General features: G+C 48.5%; 2 protein-coding genes, 1 long non-coding RNA gene and 1 other non-coding gene across 5 annotated transcripts in view, besides 11 other annotated features; 2 read left to right on the forward strand and 2 right to left on the reverse strand.

Moving 5' to 3' along the window:
* Positions 1-8,748, reverse strand: part of FBXO31 (F-box protein 31) — a 65,135-nt gene extending 56,387 nt beyond the window's left edge. Inside the window, exons 1-2 of one of the 2 annotated variants that reach the window (NM_001282683.2) lie at positions 8,710-8,748; positions 6,364-6,475 (exon numbers count right to left, since the gene is read on the reverse strand). Coding sequence is in view for 1 of the 2 variants with exons in the window: in NM_024735.5 (NP_079011.3) it covers positions 32-371 (340 nt within the window). In the remaining variant the exon portion in view is untranslated. Of the gene's footprint in view, positions 1-31; positions 404-6,363; positions 6,476-8,709 lie in introns of those variants that run through there. The other variant, NM_024735.5, reaches the window with a different exon arrangement.
* Positions 139-798: a silencer, noted in NCBI's record as "silent region_7834". NCBI's record gives its function as "represses an Ori minimal core promoter by ATAC-STARR-seq in GM12878 lymphoblastoid cells {active_cell/tissue: GM12878}" and the evidence as "EXISTENCE:reporter gene assay evidence [ECO:0000049][PMID:35858748]".
* Positions 139-859: a biological region, named in NCBI's record as "H3K27ac hESC enhancer GRCh37_chr16:87417185-87417838".
* Positions 206-859: an enhancer, noted in NCBI's record as "H3K27ac hESC enhancer chr16:87417185-87417838 (GRCh37/hg19 assembly coordinates)". NCBI's record gives its function as "activates a minimal SCP1, AML or CMV promoter by ChIP-STARR-seq in primed H9 embryonic stem cells {active_cell/tissue: H9 hESC(primed)}" and the evidence as "EXISTENCE:reporter gene assay evidence [ECO:0000049][PMID:30033119]".
* On the forward strand, positions 560-6,948 carry LOC124903747 (uncharacterized). The gene is made up of 2 exons (XR_007065168.1): positions 560-823; positions 6,389-6,948. It is a non-coding gene; the product is annotated as an uncharacterized LOC124903747 (long non-coding RNA).
* Positions 649-721, reverse strand: TRM-CAT6-1 (tRNA-Met (anticodon CAT) 6-1). Its single transcript has one exon. It is a non-coding gene; the product is annotated as a tRNA-Met (tRNA).
* Positions 860-1,511: an enhancer, noted in NCBI's record as "H3K27ac hESC enhancer chr16:87417839-87418490 (GRCh37/hg19 assembly coordinates)". NCBI's record gives its function as "activates a minimal SCP1, AML or CMV promoter by ChIP-STARR-seq in primed H9 embryonic stem cells {active_cell/tissue: H9 hESC(primed)}" and the evidence as "EXISTENCE:reporter gene assay evidence [ECO:0000049][PMID:30033119]".
* Positions 4,799-5,398: an enhancer, noted in NCBI's record as "active region_11321". NCBI's record gives its function as "activates an Ori minimal core promoter by ATAC-STARR-seq in GM12878 lymphoblastoid cells {active_cell/tissue: GM12878}" and the evidence as "EXISTENCE:reporter gene assay evidence [ECO:0000049][PMID:35858748]".
* Positions 7,921-8,879: an enhancer, noted in NCBI's record as "H3K27ac hESC enhancer chr16:87424900-87425858 (GRCh37/hg19 assembly coordinates)". NCBI's record gives its function as "activates a minimal SCP1, AML or CMV promoter by ChIP-STARR-seq in primed H9 embryonic stem cells {active_cell/tissue: H9 hESC(primed)}" and the evidence as "EXISTENCE:reporter gene assay evidence [ECO:0000049][PMID:30033119]".
* Positions 7,921-9,045: a biological region, named in NCBI's record as "H3K27ac hESC enhancer GRCh37_chr16:87424900-87425858".
* Positions 8,396-9,045: a silencer, noted in NCBI's record as "silent region_7835". NCBI's record gives its function as "represses an Ori minimal core promoter by ATAC-STARR-seq in GM12878 lymphoblastoid cells {active_cell/tissue: GM12878}" and the evidence as "EXISTENCE:reporter gene assay evidence [ECO:0000049][PMID:35858748]".
* On the forward strand, positions 8,963-21,401 carry MAP1LC3B (microtubule associated protein 1 light chain 3 beta). Its single transcript, NM_022818.5, has 4 exons — positions 8,963-9,094; positions 15,442-15,497; positions 18,802-18,908; positions 19,550-21,401. The coding sequence occupies exons 1-4, from the start codon at positions 9,055-9,057 to the stop codon at positions 19,722-19,724; spliced, it is 378 nt and encodes a 125-aa protein (NP_073729.1). The 5' UTR covers positions 8,963-9,054; the 3' UTR covers positions 19,725-21,401.
* Positions 9,066-9,235: a silencer, noted in NCBI's record as "silent region_7836". NCBI's record gives its function as "represses an Ori minimal core promoter by ATAC-STARR-seq in GM12878 lymphoblastoid cells {active_cell/tissue: GM12878}" and the evidence as "EXISTENCE:reporter gene assay evidence [ECO:0000049][PMID:35858748]".
* Positions 9,346-9,475: a silencer, noted in NCBI's record as "silent region_7837". NCBI's record gives its function as "represses an Ori minimal core promoter by ATAC-STARR-seq in GM12878 lymphoblastoid cells {active_cell/tissue: GM12878}" and the evidence as "EXISTENCE:reporter gene assay evidence [ECO:0000049][PMID:35858748]".
* Positions 10,096-10,145: an enhancer, noted in NCBI's record as "active region_11322". NCBI's record gives its function as "activates an Ori minimal core promoter by ATAC-STARR-seq in GM12878 lymphoblastoid cells {active_cell/tissue: GM12878}" and the evidence as "EXISTENCE:reporter gene assay evidence [ECO:0000049][PMID:35858748]".

Raw genomic sequence — 22,214 nt, forward strand, 5'->3', positions numbered from 1 at the left:
CCTCCCGGCCCCGCCACCCCCGCGCGCTCACCCTCACGGCAACGCCTCCTCCAGATGGTGTCGGTGTGGAGGATGCGCCGGAACTTCGTGCAGACCTGGGCCAAGCTGGGTAGGTCCGTGCCCGGCAGCGACGCGAAGATCTCCACCAGCAGCTCGGGCGGCAGCTCCAGCAGCGAGCAGCGCGGGGGCGGCGGCGAGGGGCCCGCGCACAAGCCGCCCCCGACCCCGGCGCTAGCCTCGATGCGCTCCTCCTCGGGGTCTGTGTCCGGCTCGCTGTCGGCCGCCGCCGTCTCGGCCGGGCCCCGGCGCTGCTGGCGGCGCCGACATCCGCGCGACGGGCCCACGCCGCAAAGGCGAGCACACACCGCCATGCCGCCCAGTGACGGCCACTGCTGCCGCCTGTGCGCACGCTCCAGCGCGGCCCCGCCCCGCCAGCGCCGAGCCACGCCCCCGCCGCAGAGCTCGCCACGCCCCCTGGAGAGCCTAGCCCCGCCCCTACGTAGAGCTCCGCCCCGGCCGCGCCACCCCCTCCCCGCGGGGCGGCGACCTCAGAGACCCCGCACTGCTGCCCTCCCCTCCAGCGTGAGGGCGCCGCCCGTGACGGGCATGAGAAAAGAAAGTGGTGATGCCGAGTGCAAAACGTTAGACTGCCCCGTGTGAGGCTCGAACTCACGACCTTCAGATTATGAGACTGACGCGCTGCCTACTGCGCTAACGAGGCTGCTCGGCGACCACTTCGCGCCGCGGCTTTTGTGGAGATAGGGGTCGCCCCTCGCGCCCGTGCGTCCCGCTTCCGGCGCCCGAAACTGTGCCGCGCCGGCCGGTGAGTAGAAAGATGCGCCTTACAGCCTCCAAATACAGAGGCAGCAGCCAGAACCCCAAAGGGCGCCTAGAAGCCCTTTTGTCCATTGAAACAACGCGCGTTCCATCGTCTCCGCCTTATGGTAACCAAAAGGCCCGAGCTGCGGAGCTCTGCAGGGACCTTCGGGGATCCCGAGCTCCCTGCGGAAGCCCCGGGGAGGGCTTGGAGGGGCGGCGGCCGGCGCGGCCCAAGAGATCCGGGGATGCGCGCCCGGTCTGGAAAGGGAGGCCCTGCCATGCGGCGCCGCCCAAAGGGCGCCTGTTCCTGCAGCTGCTGGGAGCCGCGCACGCCTGCTCCAGCTGGGCTCCGCCGAGGCCGCTGAGCGGGGTCGTCTCCCAGGTCCGCGGGTGGTGACCGCGAAGGCGTCCTCTCACCTGAGCAGCCGCGCACGTCGCCGTGGGCTCGCCTCGGACCCCATCTCTTGGAGGCCCAGGCGGGAGTATCAATCGAGGCCAGGAGCTCGAGACCGGCCTGGGCAATACAGCGAGACCCTGTCTACAAAACAAAATTTTAGAAAGAGAAGCTGAGACGGGAGGATCGCTTGATCCCAGGAGGCCGAGGCTGTAGTGACCCGTGATGGTGCCACTGCACTTCAGCCTGGGCAACACAGCGTGACCCTGTCTCCAAAACAAACAAAAAACAAAAATAGCCACAAATGGCTGGGCGCGGTGGCTCACGTCTGTAATCCCAGCACTTTGGGAGGCGGAGAAGGGTGCATCACCTGAGGTCAGGAGTTTGAGACCCGCCTGACCAACATGGTGAAACCCTGTCTCTTCAAACAAACAAACAAACAAACCACACAGGCCAGGCGCAGTGGCTCACGCCTGTAATTCTAGCACTTTGGGAGGCCGAGGCGGGTAGATCGGTTAAGCCCAGGAGTCGGAGACCAGCCTACCCACATAGTGAGACGCCCCCATCTCTACAAATAATTTAAAAAATTAGGCCGGGCGCGGTGGCTCACGCCTGTAATCCCAGCACTTTGGGAGGCCGAGGCGGGCAGATCATGAGGTCAGGAGATTGAGACCATCCTGGCTAACACGGTGAAACCCCGTCTCTACTAAAAATACAAAAAATTAGCCAGGTGTGGTGGCAGGTGCCTGTAGTCCCAGCTACTCGGGAGGCTGAGGCAGGAGAATGGTGTGAACCCGGGAGGCAGAGCTTGCAGTGAGCCAAGATCGTGCCACTGCACTCCAGCCTGGGCGACAGAGCAAGACTCTGTCTCAAAAAAAAAAAAAAATGGTTTCAACTAATAACATCCTGCTATCTACCAGGGAGATCAGCCATTAAACAAGTAACCACATAGATAAATACATAAATTATAAATTGTAATGCTCTAACAATAAGTAAAACTAACAAGATCTTATAGCAGAGACCAGACTTTGGATGATCAAAGGTTCTTTGAGGAAATGACATTTATAAATCAAAGGAAAATTTGGAGTTAGCCAGGAGGAGAACACTTGATGGGAGAATGTTCTAGAAAAAAAGGATAGCGGCCAGGCCTGGTGGCTCACACCTGTAATCCCAGAACTTTGGGAGGCCAAGGCGGGCAGATCACCTGAGGTTGGGAGTTCAAGATCAGCCTGGCCAACATGGTGAAACCTTGTCTCTACTGAAAAAATGCAAAAATTAGCCGGGCATGGTGGCGGGCACCTGTAATCCCAGCTACTCAGGAGGCTGAGGCAGAAGAATTACTTGAACCCGGGAGGTGGAGGTTGCAGTGAGCCGAGATTGAGCCACTGCACTCCAGCCTAGGCGACAGAGCAAGACTCTTTCTCAAAAAAAAAAAAGAAAAGAATAAAAGGACAGCTGGTTGTCCCTGGCTCATGTAGTAGGCGAGGCCAGGAAGGGAGTTTTCAAGGCAATGGCACAGACGATGGTGAGAAGGAGCATCACTTGCCGGAGATCAGGGACCTCAGGAGGCCTGAGGGAAACAGGAGGCTGGTTCAGTCCAGGGTGTGGTCTGAGCAGAAGCTGAAAATATAGGATGGAAATGAAAAATGACAAGAAAAAGAGATAAAATATAGGTTGGAGTTAGAATGTGAACTCGTGGAAGACAGATGAAGCCCTCGCAAATTCGGGAATGACACAGTGATGAAAGTGGTGTTTTGGGAAGCCAACTCAGGCTTCAGTGAGCAGCGTGGTATGCAGATGAATTGTATGCAGGACGATTTTATGTGGTACAGAAACATTTTATATTTATGTATTTATTTATTTAGAGACGGAGTCTCACTCTGTCACCCAGGCTGGAGTGCAGTGGCACAATCTCAGCTCACTGCAGCCCCCGCCTCCCGGGTTCAAGCTATTGTCCTGCCTCAGCCTCCCCGAGTAGCTGGGATTACAGGCGAGTGCCACCACACTTGGCTAATTTTTGTATTTTTAATAGAGATGGGTTTTTGCCATGTTGGCCAGGCTGGTCTTGAATTCCTGACCAGAGGCGATCCACCCACCTCGGCATCCCAAAGTGCTAGGATTACAGGCACGAGCCACTGCACCCGGCCTTTATTCTGGTTTAGTATTTGAGACATGTAACTAGTACATCAGACTTATGATTGCAGGGTCATTACTGCAATGGCAAATCTATTTTAATATACCTTAAATAAAAAATGAGCTGTTTGAAAGAAAATAGTAACCATAGAAGATGGTTGGTGATATATGAATAACCAAGGATGAAAAGCACAGGATTAGAGGGACAAAAGACAGACAGCAAGAATAATGGAAGGCTGTGTACCCAAAGTTGTGGAAGGATGGAATTAGCACTGACCATTTAGAATAGAAAGAAAAGGCTGGGAGTGGTGGCTCACACCCAGAATCCCAACACTTTGGGAGGCTGAGCAGGGAAGATTGCTTGAGCCCAGGAGACTAGCTTGGGCAACGAAGTGAAACCCCATCTCTACAAAAATAATAATAATAGAAAGAAAAGAATGACCGTGAGCGCTTCAGCAATACCTGTTGGTGGGAAGGAACCCAAGGGGAAAGACAGTGCCAGCAGAAAACTACTACACATTGAATCCTGACAGCTGAATACGTCCTTGGAACACGTTTACAATCCTTTATGTAGAAATGTATCCTTTAAAGAATAAGGAAGGTGCGTGCATTCTAAAACGAGGAAGAACTAGATAGAAGAGATCATTTGTTTTAACACTATGATGAGGCTTTACAATAATGACCTCTTTGTTAGTGAGAACTGATAACATCTAAGGAAGTAAGTCGAATATAGGGCTGGGCATTTTCCAATTGGTTGCCTCAAAGGTCACAAGTAGTATTTCTTGGACTGAGGAAAACCATGTTAACTGGGCAGGGCGCGGTGGCTTACACCTGTAATCCCAGCACTTTGGGAGGCCGAGGCGGGTGGATCATGAGGTCAGATCGAGACCATCCTGGCTAACACAGTGAAACCCCGTCTCTACTAAAAGTACAAAAAATTAGCTGGGCGTGTTGGCGGGCGCCTATAGTCCCAGCTACTCAGGAGGCTGAAGCAGGAGAATGGTGTGAACCCGGGAGGCGGAGCTTGCAGTGAGCCGAGATGGCGCCACATGCACTGGGCAATGGTGCATTCCAGCCTGGGCGACAGAGAGAAAAAAAAGAAAGAAAGAAAGCCACGTTAACTGTATCCCAATGAGTTCTCAACATCCGGATGTGAAAAAATGGGATCTTACCCACTGCTCAAAAGAACTAGTCACACTAACTGGAAAGAAGGGAAAATATTCAAACTTTGAACAAGAGGATTGCAGTTTAAAATAAGCGGGCTGATGGAGCCTCCACAGTTGCACACGTTAACAGTCCCAGAATGGAGCAAAAGCTATAAACACAGCAGTCCTACAGAATTTGTTTAGAATTAAACAAACAGGCAAACAAAAACATGGTGGAACCTCAGCCCGTTCCACCTGGTGTTACACACTCATTTAGGAAACAGCTGCGGGTCGCGTGACTGATTTGTCAGTGCTTTACCACGCGTTCTACTTTGCAGATTCTTGAAGCTGAACAGGCCAGACTTCCCTGGGGAGGAAGACACTGAACATACAGCCTGCTCTAGCTACTTATTCCCTGGATTCTCCAGGGAAGACATTCTGAAGACTGCAGTCTATTCAGTGTCAACCCCTAAATCCTCCTGACCAAATCCTTTCTGAGAATAGCTCCCTGCACTCCTCTTGAGCAATACTTGTTTGTTTACTTGCTCTCAAGAGCAAAGCGATGACACCACGATGGATAGGACACTGGGCCTATAGTGGTGCAGACGACAAAGCCGGTGGCCTCTCTCTTCCAATCAGAAAGAGGAGAGGAGGGAGAGGCCGAGGAGGCCTGAGGCCTGGAGCAAATTCTCCGCGTGACTTGCCGTCCATATTGAGTGTGGCAAAAAATAACCCCGATGCTTTCTGTAGGTCAGGTTAATGTTTTGTGATTCATTTGACAGGTTCTTACACACAGCTAGACAGCATGATTTACAGCCACTTACATCACTCAAGCTGGGCCATCACATTCAATTCTTAGCAGTTACATCATTTCCCCACGGTTATGGTCATTTCCTGGTTTGAAAAAAGGAATAGGGTGCCACTGCTGGACTTTGAAGAATGAATGATTATTTGGTAGTTTAAAGGCACCATGAAATTCCTAGAGAAAACACTGAGTAAATTAAAATGAAAGATGTGTTCTTGCTTTTCTACTTTACATGGATTATTACAGGGAACATTAACGTTTATATTACACTATGCTTATATTAACTAGCTTAAAATAATTCATGAGTAATATTAATTTACCACTCTGAATATTGTTCACTACTATATTAAATTTCTACTAAACTGCAGTCTTTTGGGTCACATGAAATGTTTCATAAATACTCAAGCACACTTATGCTTCCAAAAGTTACATGAAGTTGTTTCTTATATTTATTTGTATATGAATGTACATTATTATAATATATATACAATAGATATATATTATTTAACTAAATGTGTTATTCTTACATGGGAATGAAACCTATGAGCCATCTTTAAACCCCAATCATTTTGGATTCTTTTCTGAGAGCCATGGAAGGATATGTGGCTTTAGATTCAAGTTGGAATTAGAAGTTAGGCGTAGAAGTGTCAGCTTTGCAAATGTGGACTTCAGTCCTATATTTCAAAAACACGCAGAGTAACCCTGGCCCATTACTACACAACTGTCGATGCTACTTCCTCTGGCAATGAACCCAAGGCCTGGAGTAATTTGGTAAAGCTTTATGGATGCCCAAGGGTGGGAAAATATGAGACTCTGCTTCCCCTCCCCCATCTCCATATGCCAGATATCGATTTTTTCCCTTCTTCTTGCATTTGGAACAGTTGTCCAGCAAGAGAAAGAAAAAGCCCATTTCTTACAAAGCAGCAACTCAGCCAAGAACGCACTCACCAGTCAATACTTAATATCATAAAAATCCAGAAAAGAAAGCAACACAGACTCCACTCTTTAAGACTTCAAAACTGATACTTTGTTGTTTGGCAGAAGGTAGGTACATAATATGCGCTTACCGGATTTTTTTTTCTATTTTCACAGAATACAAACCAACAGACTGTAGCCATCTTCTGAACGCTGTCCTAGATCATGTGAAGGCACAGCTTCAGAGGTTAAAAATTTCGGAATCTGGAAACCAGAGAGAATGTTTAAGTACTCTTCTTTATTAATTGTATGACTATCAGAGATGTCTGAGGTAAAGAACTATGACAAAAAAATCAGGGACAGAAAGTGCCACCTGCACAAATGCACCGTTATTTCACAAAAAGTGGTACAATTGGCTGGGCGCGGTGGCTCGTGCCTGTAATCCCAGCACTTTGGGAGGCCAAGGCGTGTGGATCACCTGAGGTCGGGAGTTCAAGACCAGCCTGGCCAACATGGTGACACCCTCTCTCTACTACAAATACAAAAATTAGCTGGGCGTGGTGGCAGGCACCTGTATTCCCAGCTACTGGGGAGGCTGAGGCAGGAGAATCACCTGAACCCGGGAGGTGGAGGTTGCAGTGAGCTGAGATCACGCCACTGCACTCCAGCCTGGGCAACAGTGCAAGGCTCTGTCTCAAAAAACAAATAAATAAAATAAACAGTGGTGTAATAAAGAACTACAACTAACGTCATTCTTCTGATGGTGGGAGTAAATTAATTATACAAGGATCTATGACAGTAGTTGGCTTCTCTAGAAGAAATCCCAACTGTATAAAAGCACTTTGAGAAATATATTTTCTTTCTTTTTTTTTTTGAGATGGAGTTTCGCTCTTTCCCCCAGGCTGGAGTGCAGTGGCAGGATCTTGGCTCGCTGCAACCTCTGCCTTCCGGTTTCAAGCGATTCTCCTGCCTCAGCCTCCCGAGTAGCTGGGATTACAGGCGCCTGCCACCACACCCGGCTAATTTTTGTATTTTTAGTAGAGATGGGGGTTTCGCCATGTTGACCAGGCTGGTCTCGAACTCTTGACCTCGTGATCCTCCTGCCTTGACCTCCCAAAGTGCTGGAATTACAGGCATGAGTCGCCGCACCTGGCGCGAGAAATATATTTTCATACTTTTTTTCTTCTTTTTTGTGGAGGACGGGGTCTTGCTATGTTGCCCAGTCAGGTCTCAAACTCCTGGGCTCAAGCGATCCTCCCAGCCTCTGCCTCCCTGAGAGCTGGGTTTACAGGCTTGGAGCCACCGCCCCCCGCTATTTTCATGTTTTGTATGATTCAAGCTTACAGTGTAGAGTGTATTAGCCTAATCCAATTACTTTATCCAATTGGGATAGAAGAAAGGCTTTTACAAAGTCAAAAGGAGAAATCCTGGAACTATGGGGCTCTTTCAAAGTATTAGATGTTAAAGAACAAAAACAGCCAAATAGCCGGGAGCAGTGGCTCACGCCTGTAATCCCAACTCTTAAGGAGGCCGAGGCGGGAGGGTTGCTTGAGGCCAGGAGTTCAAGACCAGCCCGGGCAACACAGCGAGATCCCGGCTCTACTCCCAGCTTCTCGGGAGGCTGAGGCAGGAGGATCCCTTGAGCCCAGGCGACCGAGGCCGCCGCGAGCTATGATCGTGCCACTGCATTCCAGGCTGGGCAACAGAGCAAGACCCTGTCTCAAAAAAACCCCAAAGAATCTAGTGCTGTTCCTACAGAGACACATTGGCCACAGGCTGAGGTGGGCAATAGCAACCAAATATCGCATGGTGGTTTACGCACTGCAGCCCATTTGGAGTCCTCAAATATGACTGCCCTTTCACAGATGAGTCTGAGACTCAAAAACTGTCACTAGCGTAAGGTTGTCCAGCGAGTTTAGTGGCTGGGAGGCTGAGGGGTAGACAGGGCGGCTAGCGATGTGGGGCAGGCCTGGCAGTCGCCACAGACGACCTAACGGTAGGAAAATCTTACAGCCACCAGGAGAGTTCCAGGCGCCGCGGCAGGGGGACTGGGAGAGGGGACTGCGCCCAGAATGAAGGCTCGGGACAAAAGCAGTTGCGCAAACGCGCCAAGGCTGGGCGTCGAGTGACCGCGGGCGGAGGTCACCAGCGGCCACTCCCCGGAAGCCACCCACGGACCACGCGCGCCCCTGCACGCAGAGGGGGCCAGGGCTCCACGGGCGAGCGGCGACCCTGCCTCCCGGAGACGGCGCGGCCTGCCCTGCGCGCCTCAGCCCCGGGTGCCGGCGTCTCGGGCAGCACCACCAAGTCTCTCTGGAGGGGAAAGGATGGTCGGATTTGCCCCATGTCCCTTCCTCTGACCCCTCCCTCAAGAGTGCCCCGGGACACCCCGCCTGTGGCTCAGCCTCCCCCGCCCCGCGCTGCCATCTCCTCAGGGCCGGGCAGCAGGCTCCCGAGCGCCCACAGACCCGGGGTGCGGCCCAGCCCACAACCGTCACCTCAGGGGCCTCAGGCGCCCAGCGGTGCTGGGCGGGGCTGGGGCACGACCGGGAGCATGCGCAGAGCGCGCGTTTCGCCCATCGCGCACGCGCACACACCTGCTCCGCCCCCACGCTGCGTGCCGCTGCTGGGTTCCGCCACGCCCGTCATGGCGGCGGCCCCGGCCGGCTCTGGCCCCGCCCCTCGGTGACGCGTCGCGAGTCACCTGACCAGGCTGCGGGCTGAGGAGATACAAGGGAAGTGGCTATCGCCAGAGTCGGATTCGCCGCCGCAGCAGCCGCCGCCCCCGGGAGCCGCCGGGACCCTCGCGTCGTCGCCGCCGCCGCCGCCCAGATCCCTGCACCATGCCGTCGGAGAAGACCTTCAAGCAGCGCCGCACCTTCGGTGAGTGTCGCCGCGAGGGCGGCGGGTGCGGCGGGGCCGGGGTCCGAGCTGTGGAGGGCGGCAGGGCCTGGGACGCCGTGAGGGGTCGGGGCCGAGCCGGGAGGCCGAGCGGGGCCGGTGGCTGCCGGCCGGCGGGGCCGAGGGATGCGGGGCCCGGGGCCCCGTGAGGGACCCAGGCCGGGACCGAGCCGGGAGGGCCAGGGGCTGGTCTGGGCCGGGGCGGCCTGCGGACCTCTCGGAGGCCTGGGAGGAGGCAGCCGGCGGAGGGCGGGCGGGGGCCGGTGCGCTCGGGGCCCCGGGCCTGCTGAATCACCCCGCGCCCTCCGCGGCGGGGTGCCTGCCGTACCCCGGCCACCGCCGCCCCCGCAAGCGCGCTGCGGGCGAGGGTCGCGCTTCTGGGGCCCAACAGCCCCCGGGGCCGCGCTGGGCCGTTCGGCTCTGAAGCGGGGCTGCGCCGGGACCCAGCGCGTCACCTTCAGGGCTGGTTTTCCCGTCGAGGGAGCCCGCCCGGGTGCGAGTGCCTCTTACAGACCTCAGTGCCTCGGTCGAGAGGAGGGGAATGTGCTGGGCCCCGGCCTCGCCGCGCCCGGGACGGCCCACAGCGGTGTTGCCAGTTCCTGTCTGTAGCCCAGGAGCTGGGGTGGGAGACTTCTCTTGGGTTTGCGATTACGTTCTCACCTTGGCACCAGGAATACCGAATACATCCCTTTTCTGCCGGTTCAGACTGGAAACCCAGCTTAGGTGTGCTGGCATTTGGTTAAACGTGCAGGTGTCACCATCACAATATTTACTCCACGCAGATGATGCGAAGTGATTATTTCCCGCTTGAGCAAGAGAACGCCGCAGATCCAGGTATCTGTTGTTGCCTAAGTTCCAGACACCGGTTTGGAAGGGAAGCACCGTGTTCATCGCGGTGGACTGCGAATGCCTGCCGCCATCCTCGTCAGGAGCCCACACAGTGGTGCTGTTTGTCTGCTTTTGCCTAGTTTCCCGGAGTCTAGAAAGAGTTTAGCATTCATTTGAGTTTGGATATAGTTTTGCAGGTCTCATTGACCATTATTTTTTTTCTTATGCCTGAGAAACTTAAGCAAATTAAAATGGACCTTAGCTTGCCAAGCATATCTTTTCAGACAGCCTCTTGAGGCAGTCCGTTGGTTAGCAAGACTTACACGTGCCTTTTTTGTTAGTAGTTTTCTTGTTAGTCACCTTAATGAACTCTTTACTGTAGTGTCTAGGCTTATTGAGCCCTGAGAGCAGCATTAAAGACAGATTTTCTTTTCTTTTTTATTTTGAGACAGGGTCTCACTCTGTCACCTGGGCTGGAGTGCAGTGGTGCAATCACAGCCCACTGCAGCCTCGACCTCCCGGGCTAAAGCGATCCAGCGGCCCCCCTCAGACCTGGCTTCTGTTTTCACCAATGAAAAGTTAACTGGGAACATTTATGTAGGAGAGATGCCCTTTTTCTCATAACAGAAACTATAGTTATTTTCTTTTTTGCTTAGTACTTTTGGGTTATTCTGGAAAAGTCTCTGCGAAGAGTGGGTAGTAAGGGTAGGAAATGTGAGACTAACACATCCGAACAAGGAATTTCCTGGAACCTAAAAGTGGCCCTGAGGGTAGACCAGCAATAATGCCCCATTTTTTTCCCATTGATGTATGGACCTTGTATATACTGTATTTTCAGGGTTTTTTCCCTTGGCTCACCTTTATTTTGCCCCCTCCCCTTTAAATATCTCTTTAATAGTCACTTTGTAGAAATGTGTCAAATATCTTAACAGCTGTTACCTTTCCTTGCTTCTGATTTTGGTAATTAAAAAAAAAAATCTTTCTAGTTCATGAATATTTTGGTAATGTTGATCATGAGTACTGACAGTTTTCAGACATGTGTAGCACAGTAAGTGAGGGAAATGAATCCTTAGAGAGAACCTCTTTATGGAGCCTAAGATAAGCCCCAGTTAGCTTGAGTGGTGTTTTCTCTTTCCAAGTGAGTGAGTTTAAGGTTAATACTGAATATAGCTCTGCTGATAAACTCTACCAGGATTGACAGGGTTCTCAAAGTTGAAATGGATTTTAAGGCTCACTGAAAACAACGCCTTCCTTTTGTAGCTAAAGAAACTGGGTGGGGCCTGGTGGTGAAGATCATGGTCCACCTAGTGGCAGAGTCTGGACTGGTACCTTTAACCTGGCATGAATTCTTCCAGTCTCCAGTAGGTAGCCATCATTTCCAGTATATTAAGTGGACCAAGACTGTGTGAGTCAGGAGACATAGTGTGTCCTTGGAGATGTGTTGGAAATATTGAATGAACTTCAAAAATTAAAATTGTGTGGGGCATGGTGGCTCACACCTGTAATCCCAGCACTTTGGGAGGCCAAGGCAGGATCGCTTGAGTTTGGGAGTTCAAGACCAGCCTGGGCAACATAGTGAGAGCTCATCTCTACCAAAAAAAGAAACCAAACAGACAAATAAGAGTTGTTGCTGTGTGGCCCAGGCCAGCTTTAACTATTGGCCTCAAGTGATCCTCCCACCTTGGTTTCCCAAAGTCCTGGGATTACAGGTGTGAGCCACCACGCCTGGCCTGGGGGAGGGGGAGTGCTTCAGTTTCTCTCTGAGAAGTAAATCCTGGAAAATCCTGGAAAAACTGAAATTTTACTTAAAATGACTGAAGATATCTCAAAACAACTTTGCAAAGAACGTGTTCTTAAAAATAGGACACCTTAGGCTCCTACCGTTTGTTTTAATGTTTGTAAAGGCTCTTAAGGATCTTTTTTGTTTTAGAAGAAAGGAATCTGGGGAAGCAGGTTAGATTTTGCTGTGCATGTGGAGCCGTGTTCATTTCTGTTTTACAGCTTTCATTCAGTTGTTGATGAACTCTCTTCTGTGTACAAGCCTGAGCCCTGGGGGGACACAGATTGGACTGGAGCTGGGTCCTTGACTGCCAGCGGGGCAGTCTGTTGAGAAAGACAAAAACAGATGATTACAGCATTAGGAAACAGGGAGTAAAAGACTTGCCCTCCTTCTATGCCATTGACTGTGCTGTTGATAATGCTTTTGTTAAATATACTGTTAGCCTCTAAAACAGCTGTCTCCTGAAGAATGAGAGTGGAGCATCCGTGTGTACCGTGTACAGCCAGTTAGTTACTCCAGGCTCAGCACTGGATTTTCATTGCTGCTGGACAGCGTGCTAAGATGCTCCTATGGGACTTGGGTGTTATTCTTTACAGCTTAAGGAAGTAACTTGTCTTTTATATACTTCCCACCTTTCATGAAAATAATCATTTTTGTCTTTTTAGGTCGTGTTTTGGGAATAAATCAGGATAAAGATAACTTTAAACACTATAGTTTCAGACTTTGAAACTTCATAGAGCCTGTTTTTTCCTTCTTTCCTTTTTTTTTTTTTTTTTTTTTTTTTTGAGACAGGATCTCGCGCTGTCACCCAGGCTGGAGTGCAGTGGCATGATCTCAGCTCACTGCAACCTCCGCCTCCTGGGTTCAAGTGATTCTCCTGCCTTAGCCTCCTGAGTAGCTGGGATTACGGGTGCCCGCCATCACGCCCAGCTAATTTTTGTATTTTTAGTAAAGACAGGGTTTCACCGTGTTGGCCAGGATGGTCTCTAACTCCTGACCTCAGGTGATCCGCCCGCCTTGGCCTCCCAAAGTGCTGGGTTTACGAGCGTGAGCCACCGCACCCAGCCAAACCTAGTTTCCTATATTAAAAAAATGTTTCCAGCCGGGTGTGGTGGCACATGCCTGTAATCCCAACATTTTGGTAGGCCAAGGTGGGCGGATCACAAGGTCAGGAGATTGAGACCATCCTGGCTAACATGATGAAACCCCGTCTTTACTAAAAATACAAAAAATTAGCCGGGCGTGGTGGCGGGCGCCTGTAGTCCCAGCTACTTGGGATGCTGAGGGAGGAGAATGGCATGAACCTGGGAGGCGTAGCTTGCAGTGAGCAGAGATCGCGCCACTGCACTCCAGCCTGAGTGACAGAGCAAGACTCCATCTCAAAAAAAAAAAAAAAATTCTTTCCCCTCTGCCTGAACGTTTCTACTTTTAGATTTATTAGGATAAGCTTTTAAATGTGAAACATTCCAGGATATATGAAAGAGGTATCACTTATTCGCTGGAGTGAATTAAATCGTGATTTACCCTATACACTGAATCCACACTGACACAATGGACGTTTTTATTGTGAAGAGGGTCTGGGGTAGGACAGGCATAGGAAGATGTCTCATACTTAGGAGAGGTGATGATGAGGGGTCACTGAGAATCTCGCTGGGAAGTAGAGAAGGAGTCAAAGGATAAGAGCCACTAGGTTAATTTTACTGTTAACAATAGCGAAATTTGTCATTATTATTTTTATTTTTCATTTTTTTGAGACAAAAGTCTTGCTCTGTCGCCCAGACTAGAGTGCAGTGGCGTGATCTCGGCTGACTGCAACCTGTGCCTCCCGGGTTCAAGCGATTCTCCTACCTCAGCCTCCCTAGTAGCTGGGATTACAGGCGCCGGACGCCGCGCCCAGCTCATTTTTGTATTTTTAGTAGAGATGGGCTATCACCATTGTGGCCAGGCTAGTCTCAAACTCCTGACCTCGTGATCCACCCGCCTCGGCCTCCCAAAGTGCTGGGGTTACAGGCATGAGCCACTGCGCCCAGCCACCAAATTTATCATTTGCATATATATTCAATAGGAATATGCACTGGTAGAAATCCATGAGTTTGCAATCTTTGTTGCAAAGATGTTTATATTTAGCAATGTATCTTAGAAGCTGATTTTAAAGTTTTGGATGGGGAAACAGAAGTCGAACTTATGGCTGTACTTGAACACAGGAATTTTAAAAGTTTTTATAAAGAGTGATACTAAAATTGGGCTGGGCTTGGTGGCTCACGCCTGTAATCCCAGCACTTTGGGAGGCTGAGGTGGGCGGATCACGAGGTCAGGAGATGGAGACCATCCTGGTTAACAGGGTGAAACCCGTCTCTACTAAAAATACAAAAAAATTAGCCGAGCATGGTGTCGGGTGCCTGTAGTCCCAGCTACTCGGGAGGCTGAGGCAGGAGAATGGTGTGAACCCAGGAGGCGGAGCTTGCAGTGAGCGGAGATTGCAGCACTGCACTCCAGCCTGGGCAACAGAGTGAGACTCTGTCTCAAAAAAAGAATGATACTAAAATTTTTTTTAATCCAAATGAGATTGGCAATGATATTAGAGTAACGTCATATTTATGTAGGTCACACCATATTTTTTCTGTCTCAGGAAGTTCGTGACATTGATTATTTATTTGCGCTTACCGTGAGAATCAATCCTACCATAGTAAATCAAGGTTATTTTGCTCATTTTTTTTTTTGGAGGTTTTAAATAATGCCATCTAAGTCATATGTTCACATATTGCCTTTTTTTTTTTAACACACATATTGCTTTGTAAATGACTTCTCTCTAACTGTATTTTTGGGTTTCTGGGAACTGGACTTGGCTTGTTTTTTTTTCCCTGTATTGCCCACAGTCTAGTACAGTTGTTGAAATTATCAATAAGTGATTCTATTAAAAGGGAGAAAAGAATTTTTTTTTTTTTTTGAGATGGAGTCTGGCTCTGTCGCCCATGCTGGAGTGCAGTGGTGCAATGTCCGCTCACTGCAACCTCCGTGTCCCAGGTTCAAGTGATTCTCCTGCCTCAGCCTCCCGAGTAGCTGGGATTACAGGCATGTGCCATCACGCCCGGCTAATTTTTATACTTTTAGTAGAGACGGGACAGGGTTTCACCATGTTGGCCAGGCTGGTCTCGAACTCCTGACCTCAAGTGATCTGCCCACCTCAGCCTCCCAAGGTGCTGGGATTACAGGCATCATATTCCATTCTCTTGAGCAGTTTATTTTCTCTTAGGCACCATATCATTAAAAAGCTGGAAGTGATAAGGGAAAAATTGCATTTCCTGGTTTATAATGGATTCCATTTCCAACTTAAAGTGTGGAAAATTAACAAAAATTGAAGTTAATATTATAGGTGGTAGTGGTCTTTGGAGGAAGGACTGGGTCTCATGCAGTGGGTCTGCCTTGTATGTCTGACCACAAACTTTGGGCTCCCAATTCCTTGAAACTAGTTGTCCCATATTCCTGGTCTTTGTCCTATCACCTGATAGAGCCATGTATGTTATGTTGCTCTTGGCCTTAGATACAAACCTTTATCAGGTTTGAAGTGTTCGTGTTTTGTTTCTTTAAGTCCTAGGAAAGATGTCTTCAGTGTTCTGCTGTGCCACAGCTAGCAGCTGAACTTGGATGGAGAACCAGCAGCAGTGCTGGGAAGAAGCTGCCTGGCCCTTAGTAATGCTTCTGTCTCTTCATTTCATTGCAGAACAAAGAGTAGAAGATGTCCGACTTATTCGAGAGCAGCATCCAACCAAAATCCCGGTAGGTAGTCTCAGGCCTCGGTTTCAGTCATGAATGTACGCAGAGGAGAGCACCGCATAAGTGCATCCACTTGACGGGTTTTTACAGGAATCACCAGACAGCCAAACCCTGGGTGTCAGTTTCACAACCTAGAGAGAGGTATCCTTTTTTTAAGAGACAGGGTCTCACTCTCTTTCCCAGGCTGGAGTGCAGTGGTGCGATCGTAGCTCAGTGCAGTCTCAGCCACCTTGTGCTCAAGCAGTCCTCCCTCCTCAGCCTCCTGAGTAGCTCTGACTAGAGGCACACACCACTACACCTGGCTAATTTTTTAAGTTTTTTGTAGAGACAGGGTCTTGCTATGTTTAACAACCCAGGCTGATCTCAAACTCCTGGGCTCAAATGATCCTCCACCTTGACCTCTCAAAGTGTTGGGATTATAGGCATGAGCCACTGGCTGGCCTCAGGTGCCAAGATTTCTGTACTGCCTCTAATTTCTGCTACCACTTAAACTCAGGCAGGTGGAGCCTACACACTGATATTTCCTTGTGGATATCACACTTCAGAACGTGTCCGCTAGATAAAGCTCTCAAACTTACCAAGGAAAGTGATGACAGCTTGACTCGGCCTTACACAGAACCCTATGTAGGTCTCACACAATAGAACAATGTACAAATAAGCATTTTTCTTTCCCAAAGAAGCATGTAAAGATTTCCCATTCCTGCCACTCAACTTCTCTTTGTTGTGACAGGGTGGAAGAATTACTGTATATAGAAAAGATGTCCGCAGCGTTCAGTAAACACAGACACTAATGAGACTCAGAGGCTCATCTGTGGTCAGGTATTATAACAGCTTAAAACTAAAAAAAAACAAAATATTTTGCTCCATGGAAAGGAAGCATAGTGAGGAGCCAATGGATTATTTATTTATTTATTTATTTATTTTGAGACGGAGTCTTGCTGTGTCGCCCAGGCTGGAGTGTAGTGGCGCGATCTCGGCTCACTGCAACCTCCGCCTCCCAGGTTCAAGTGATTCTCCTGCCTCAGCCTCCTGAATAGCTGGGACTACAGGCACGTGCCACTACGCCCAGCTAATTTTTGTATTTTTAGTAGAGACAGGGTTTCACCATGTTGGCCAGGATGGTCTTGATCTCTTGACCTCATGATCCGCCCACCTCGGCCTCCCAAAGTGCTGGGATTACAGGCGTGAGTCACCACGCCGGCCTGATGGCTTTATTTAAATTCATAATATGAAACTATATGTGTTCCCTGTGTAGTTCAAATACGTGTGTGTGTGTGTGTGTGTGTGTGTGTGTGTGTGTGTGTGTATAAAATTTTTTTTTTTTTTTTGAGATGCAGTCTCGCTCTGTCACCCAGGCTGGAGTGCAGTGGCGTGATCTCGGCTCACTGCAAGCTCCACCTCCCGGGTTCACGCCATTCTCCTGCCTCAGCCTCCTGAGTAGCTGGGACTGCAGGCGCCCACCACCATGCGCGGCTAATTTTTTTTGTATTTTTAGTAGAGACGGGGTTTCACCATGTTAGCCAGGATGGTCTCAGTCTCCTGACCTCATGATCTGCCTGCCTTGGCCTCCCAAAATGCTGGGATTACAGGCGTGAGCCACCGCACCTGGCCTCAAATATTTGTATTTTTAACCTCATTTAAAGAAATATGTTATCAGAATGAAAGTACCAGGTCATTATGCACAAAACTTTGTCTCTAGAACCAGCTAATAATGGACTCTACTTGCCTTGTCAAATATAATTTTTTCATGTCAACTAGACAGTCTCTAGTGTGGAAAAACATTGAGCATATTACTATAATTAGGAACTTACACATTTATTAAAACACAGGCATTTACTTTTTTTTTTTTTTTAATGGATGAAAGGTTTTTATGTTTCCCAGGTGGGCCTGGAACGCATAGCCTCACCTCCTTATGCACCAGAACAACCAGCCTGAGTCACCGTGGCTCCCAAAACACATGCATTTACTTTCATTAGAACTTCAGCTGGCCGGACGCGGTGGCTCACGCCTGTATCCCAGCACTTTGGAAGGCCGAGGCGGGTGGATCACGAAGTCAGGGGTTCGAGACCAGCCTGACCAACATGGTGAAACCCCATCTCTACTAAAAATACAAAAATTAGCTGGGCGTGGTGGCGGGTGCCTGTAATCCCAGCTACTCAGGAGGCTGAGGCAGGAGAATTGCTTGAACCCGGGAGTCGGAGGTTGCAGTGAGCCAAGATCGTGCCACTGCATTCCAGCCTGGGCGACAGAGCAAGACTCTGTCTCAAAAAAAAAAAAAAAAAAAAAAAACTTCAGCCATGTCTCAGGATATGGTAGTTTTGGAATTGAGAGTTTCAGATGTTTTGTGCTTGAAGCTGGTTCCCAGCCTCTCTGCCTCGGTAAGGCTTGAGGTCTTTTTCTGACTAGGTATGTATTTTTCATGGTTCCAAAACTGAAACAGAATGAAAGGATACATAGCCAAGTATCTTCCCCCACTTCCTACCTGACGGCAGACATATTGTCTCTCTTGTACTATATTTTGTAAGGGGTAGATGTCTAAGCTAGCAAATGATCACTCTTCACAGGAGAGCTATGAGGAAACTAGTGAATGTGCTGTTTCAAAGCCCATTTTGGCATGTGCCAGTTAGACTGTAGGAGGCATTTTGTATATTTTTAATTGTTGATGACTATTTTATTTATTTATTGGAGACAGTCTAGCTCTATGCCCTAGGCTGGAGTGCAGTGGCGCAACCTCAGCTCACTGCAACCTCCGCCTCCTAGGTTCAAGCTTGTCTCAGCCTCCCGAGTAGCTGGAAGGCATTACAGGCACCTGCCACCACACCTGGATAATTTTTGTATTTTTAGTAGAGTCGGGGTTTTGCCATGTTGACCAGGCTGGTCTCGAACTCCTGACCTCAGGTGATCTGCTGGCCTCACCCTCCCAAAGTGCTGGGATTACAGGCATGTGCCACCATGCCCAGCCTGATGACTTTTTTTTTTTTTTGAGATGGAGTCTCGCTCTGTCACCCAGGCTGGAGTGCGGTGGCGCGATCTCGGCTCACTGCAAGCTCCACCTCCCGGGTTCACGCCATTCTCCTGCCTCAGCCTCCTGAGTAGCTGGGACTACAGGCGCCCGCCACCATGCCCGGCTAATTTTTTTTTGTATTTTTAGTAGAGATGGGGTTTCACCATGTTAGCCAGGGTGGTCTCAGTCTCCTGACCTCGTGATGTGCCCGCCTCGGCCTCCCAAAATGCTGGGGTTACAGGTGTGAGCCACCGCGCCTGGCCCTGATGACTATTTTAAAATCACTTCTGGCTTCTTTTCCAGGTGATAATAGAACGATACAAGGGTGAGAAGCAGCTTCCTGTTCTGGATAAAACAAAGTTCCTTGTACCTGACCATGTCAACATGAGTGAGCTCATCAAGATAATTAGGTATTCAGTCACCTTTGTTTCATAATATATTTCCTTTGAGTAACTTCTTATTCTTTATGAAACTTACAGTTAAATCTTTAGTTCTGGTTAAAATCTTTAAAAAATATTTTTCAGCTGAATTCAGTTCTGATTCAGTTATGATTAAAACAATTTCAACTTAAACTATAAAATGTTTCTTTTTTTGAGGTTTTATATTACTTGCTAGACTGCAGAGCCCGTTTCTTTCATCATAACATCGTTTAGATGTTTCCTGTTTAAAATCAGTGTTACAAGTTATTAAGGTATTGTACAGCAAAGCTAGTTAAAGAGAATGTAGACTCTGTGAGTGGCAGTAAATGGCACAGGCTTAGATCTTAGAATAGTTCAGAAACTGTATTTGAACTGCTTTCTTATATTAGACAGTTTAACAGCTGTTCAGACAGTATACTAGTTTAAAATCAGCCTAATATGTAATCTTTCAGTGATTATAGCTCATGTCAATATAATCAAAGGAAGTGTCCTGTGCTTTATGAGAAGTATTGGATTCAAGAGCATTTAGAACATTTTTATATTTTACCGATCAGAGTGGGTGATATTTTAACACATGCTTCATCCTTCTTGTATTGTTGTCAATATTTCTTCACGTTGTTTTCTTTCAATAGAAGGCGCTTACAGCTCAATGCTAATCAGGCCTTCTTCCTGTTGGTGAACGGACACAGCATGGTCAGCGTCTCCACACCAATCTCAGAGGTGTATGAGAGTGAGAAAGATGAAGATGGATTCCTGTACATGGTCTATGCCTCCCAGGAGACGTTCGGGATGAAATTGTCAGTGTAAAACCAGAAAAAATGCAGCTCTTCTAGAATTGTTTAAACCCTTACCAAGGAAAAAAAAGGGATGTTACCAACTGAGATCGATCAGTTCATCCAATCACAGATCATGAAACAGTAGTGTTCCCACCTAGGAGTGTTAGGAAGTTGTGTTTGTGTTTCAAGCAGAAAAACTGAGCTCCAAGTGAGCACATTCAGCTTTGGAAACTATATTATTTAATGTAGGCTAGCTTGTTTTCAAATTTTAAAAGTTTAAAAATAAAATACTTTGCATTCTAAGTTGCCAATAAAATAGACCTTCAAGTTATTTTAATGCTCTTTTCTCACTAATAGGAACTTGTAATTCCAGCAGTAATTTAAAGGCTTTCAGAGAGACCCTGAGTCTTCTCTTCAGGTTCACAAAACCCGCCGCCTTTTTGGGTAGAAGTTTTCTACTCAGCTAGAGAGATCTCCCTAAGAGGATCTTTAGGCCTGAGTTGTGAAGCGCAACCCCCGCAAAACGCATTTGCCATCACAGTTGGCACAAACGCAGGGTAAACGGGCTGTGTGAGAAAACGGCCCTGACTGTAAACTGCTGAAGGTCCCTGACTCCTAAGAGAACCACACCCAAAGTCCTCACTCTTGCAGGGGTAGACATTTCTGGTTTGGTTTGTTCTCTAGATAGTTACACACATAAAGACACCACTCAAAAGGAAACTTGAATAATTTATAATTTTGATCGAGTTTCTTAAAAGACCCTGGAGAAAGAGTGGCATTTCTTCTGTTTCAGGTTTTGTCTGAGTTCAAACTAGTGCCTGTGTTGTTACGGAAAGCAGCAGTGTACCAGTGTCACTCTGGAGTACAGCGGGAGAAACACAAAATAGTATAACTGAAAACATTAACATTCAGACACACTCCCTTCTGCCTTCCGGCTTAAAGCTGTGGATGATCCACGTTTTTGTTTTTTTAATGTTAAATGTGTAACTCAGTATTACTGAAAAGGTACCCACATTTTGAATAGTAGTTATCACTCTTAGGTCAGACAGCCATCAGAATTCTCCCACACCAAGTGCATGTCAGTTGTGGAGAAAACATAGCAAAAAGAGCCGTACGCTCTTTACAGATACTAATGTCAAGAGTTAAACCTCCTCAGGTTCAACCTGTGATAAAAGACTAGTGCTTCCCAGTACTTGCATGGGGTTCACTATTTATAGTTTTCTTGGGAGTATCACAGGAAAATCACAATTACACCACTTTAGACCCTATGTGTAGCAGGTCACAACTTACCCTTGTGTGTTTAGATGTGTATGAAATACCTGTATACGTTAGTGAAAGCTGTTTACTGTAACGGGGAAAACCAGATTCTTTGCATCTGGGCCCTCTACTGATTGTTAAAGGAGTTCCTGTCACCTGCTCCCCCCACCCCCGCATGCGTCTGTCCACTTGGCTAACTTTTAATATGTGTATTTTTACATTATGTATATTCTTAACTGGACTGTCTCGTTTAGACTGTATACATCATATCTGACATTATTGTAACTACCGTGTGATCAGTAAGATTCCTGTAAGAAATACTGCTTTTTAAGAAAAAAAATAACATGCTGAGGGGTGACCTATATCCCATGTGAGTGGTCACTTTATTTATAGGATCTTTAAAACATTTTTAATGAACTAAGTTGAATAAAGGCACAATTAAAAACTGTCATCAAAGCCCAGTTTAATGGGATTCCGTATTTGAGACTTGGATCCCACACTGTTTGTACTTTCCAAAGCCAAGCGGGTCCTTGTATTTCCAAGGAGGGGCATCCAGGCTGGTCCTCTCGTGCAGAGGGGGCACTCACGTGGATGAGCATTGCCCTCCGAGGGCCTCTGCCTTGTCAAGGGCACCCTCCACCTTGGCCAAGGCCCTGCCACCAGGTCTGGCCTTTACAAAGCCAAGTCCTCTTGAGAACTCACGTGCCACGGGCTATCAGGATGGATGCGAATTGACCTACATGTTTTGTGGGACTATAACACCCAACAACCTACTGCTGTAAACCACCCACCACCATAAGTATTTATTAGGTATGTGTGTGTGGTCGAGAAAGTGTACCCTTGGGGGACCCAGTGGGGAGCTGCTGGCATCGTGTACAGATGCAGCACACACACACTTCAGCACTCAGACCAGACAAAAAGTGGCCAACCTCATCATCTAGGGAACTCTGAGCCCAGCTCCCGTTTAAGTAGGCACCTAAAAGTCTGTTGAAAAATACAAGGGAGTGACCTGAGAAAACTGCCTTCCCAGGCCAGCTGCTCAATAGAAGCGTCTGCGTCCCTTGTCCCGTCTTCGGAGCTCCCCGTGGGTGCTGTAGCCCCACTCACTTCCCTGACATCACCAGAGCACATGCTCAGTATGTTGCCACCTCCCAAATCCAGAAGGGTGTGGTCTTAGATGCCATGGAAGCGATTCTGTACAATGCCGAGTCAGTCACAGGCTGATGTGGCAGCTGGTGGCTTGTGTCACTGTGTCACCCACCTC

Source organism: Homo sapiens, chromosome 16 (assembly GCF_000001405.40).
Source record: "Homo sapiens chromosome 16, GRCh38.p14 Primary Assembly".
In the NCBI taxonomy this organism is placed as follows: domain Eukaryota; kingdom Metazoa; phylum Chordata; class Mammalia; order Primates; family Hominidae; genus Homo; species Homo sapiens.

Excerpts from the sequence above, each read along its gene's own strand:
- MAP1LC3B (NM_022818.5), top strand. The coding sequence starts at position 9,055 with ATGCCGTCGGAGAAGACCTTCAAGCAGCGCCGCACCTTCG. Across the intron at positions 9,095-15,441 it reads CAAGCAGCGCCGCACCTTCG|AACAAAGAGTAGAAGATGTC; the intron begins GTGAGTGTCGCC and ends ATTTCATTGCAG. Across the intron at positions 15,498-18,801 it reads AGCATCCAACCAAAATCCCG|GTGATAATAGAACGATACAA; the intron begins GTAGGTAGTCTC and ends CTTCTTTTCCAG.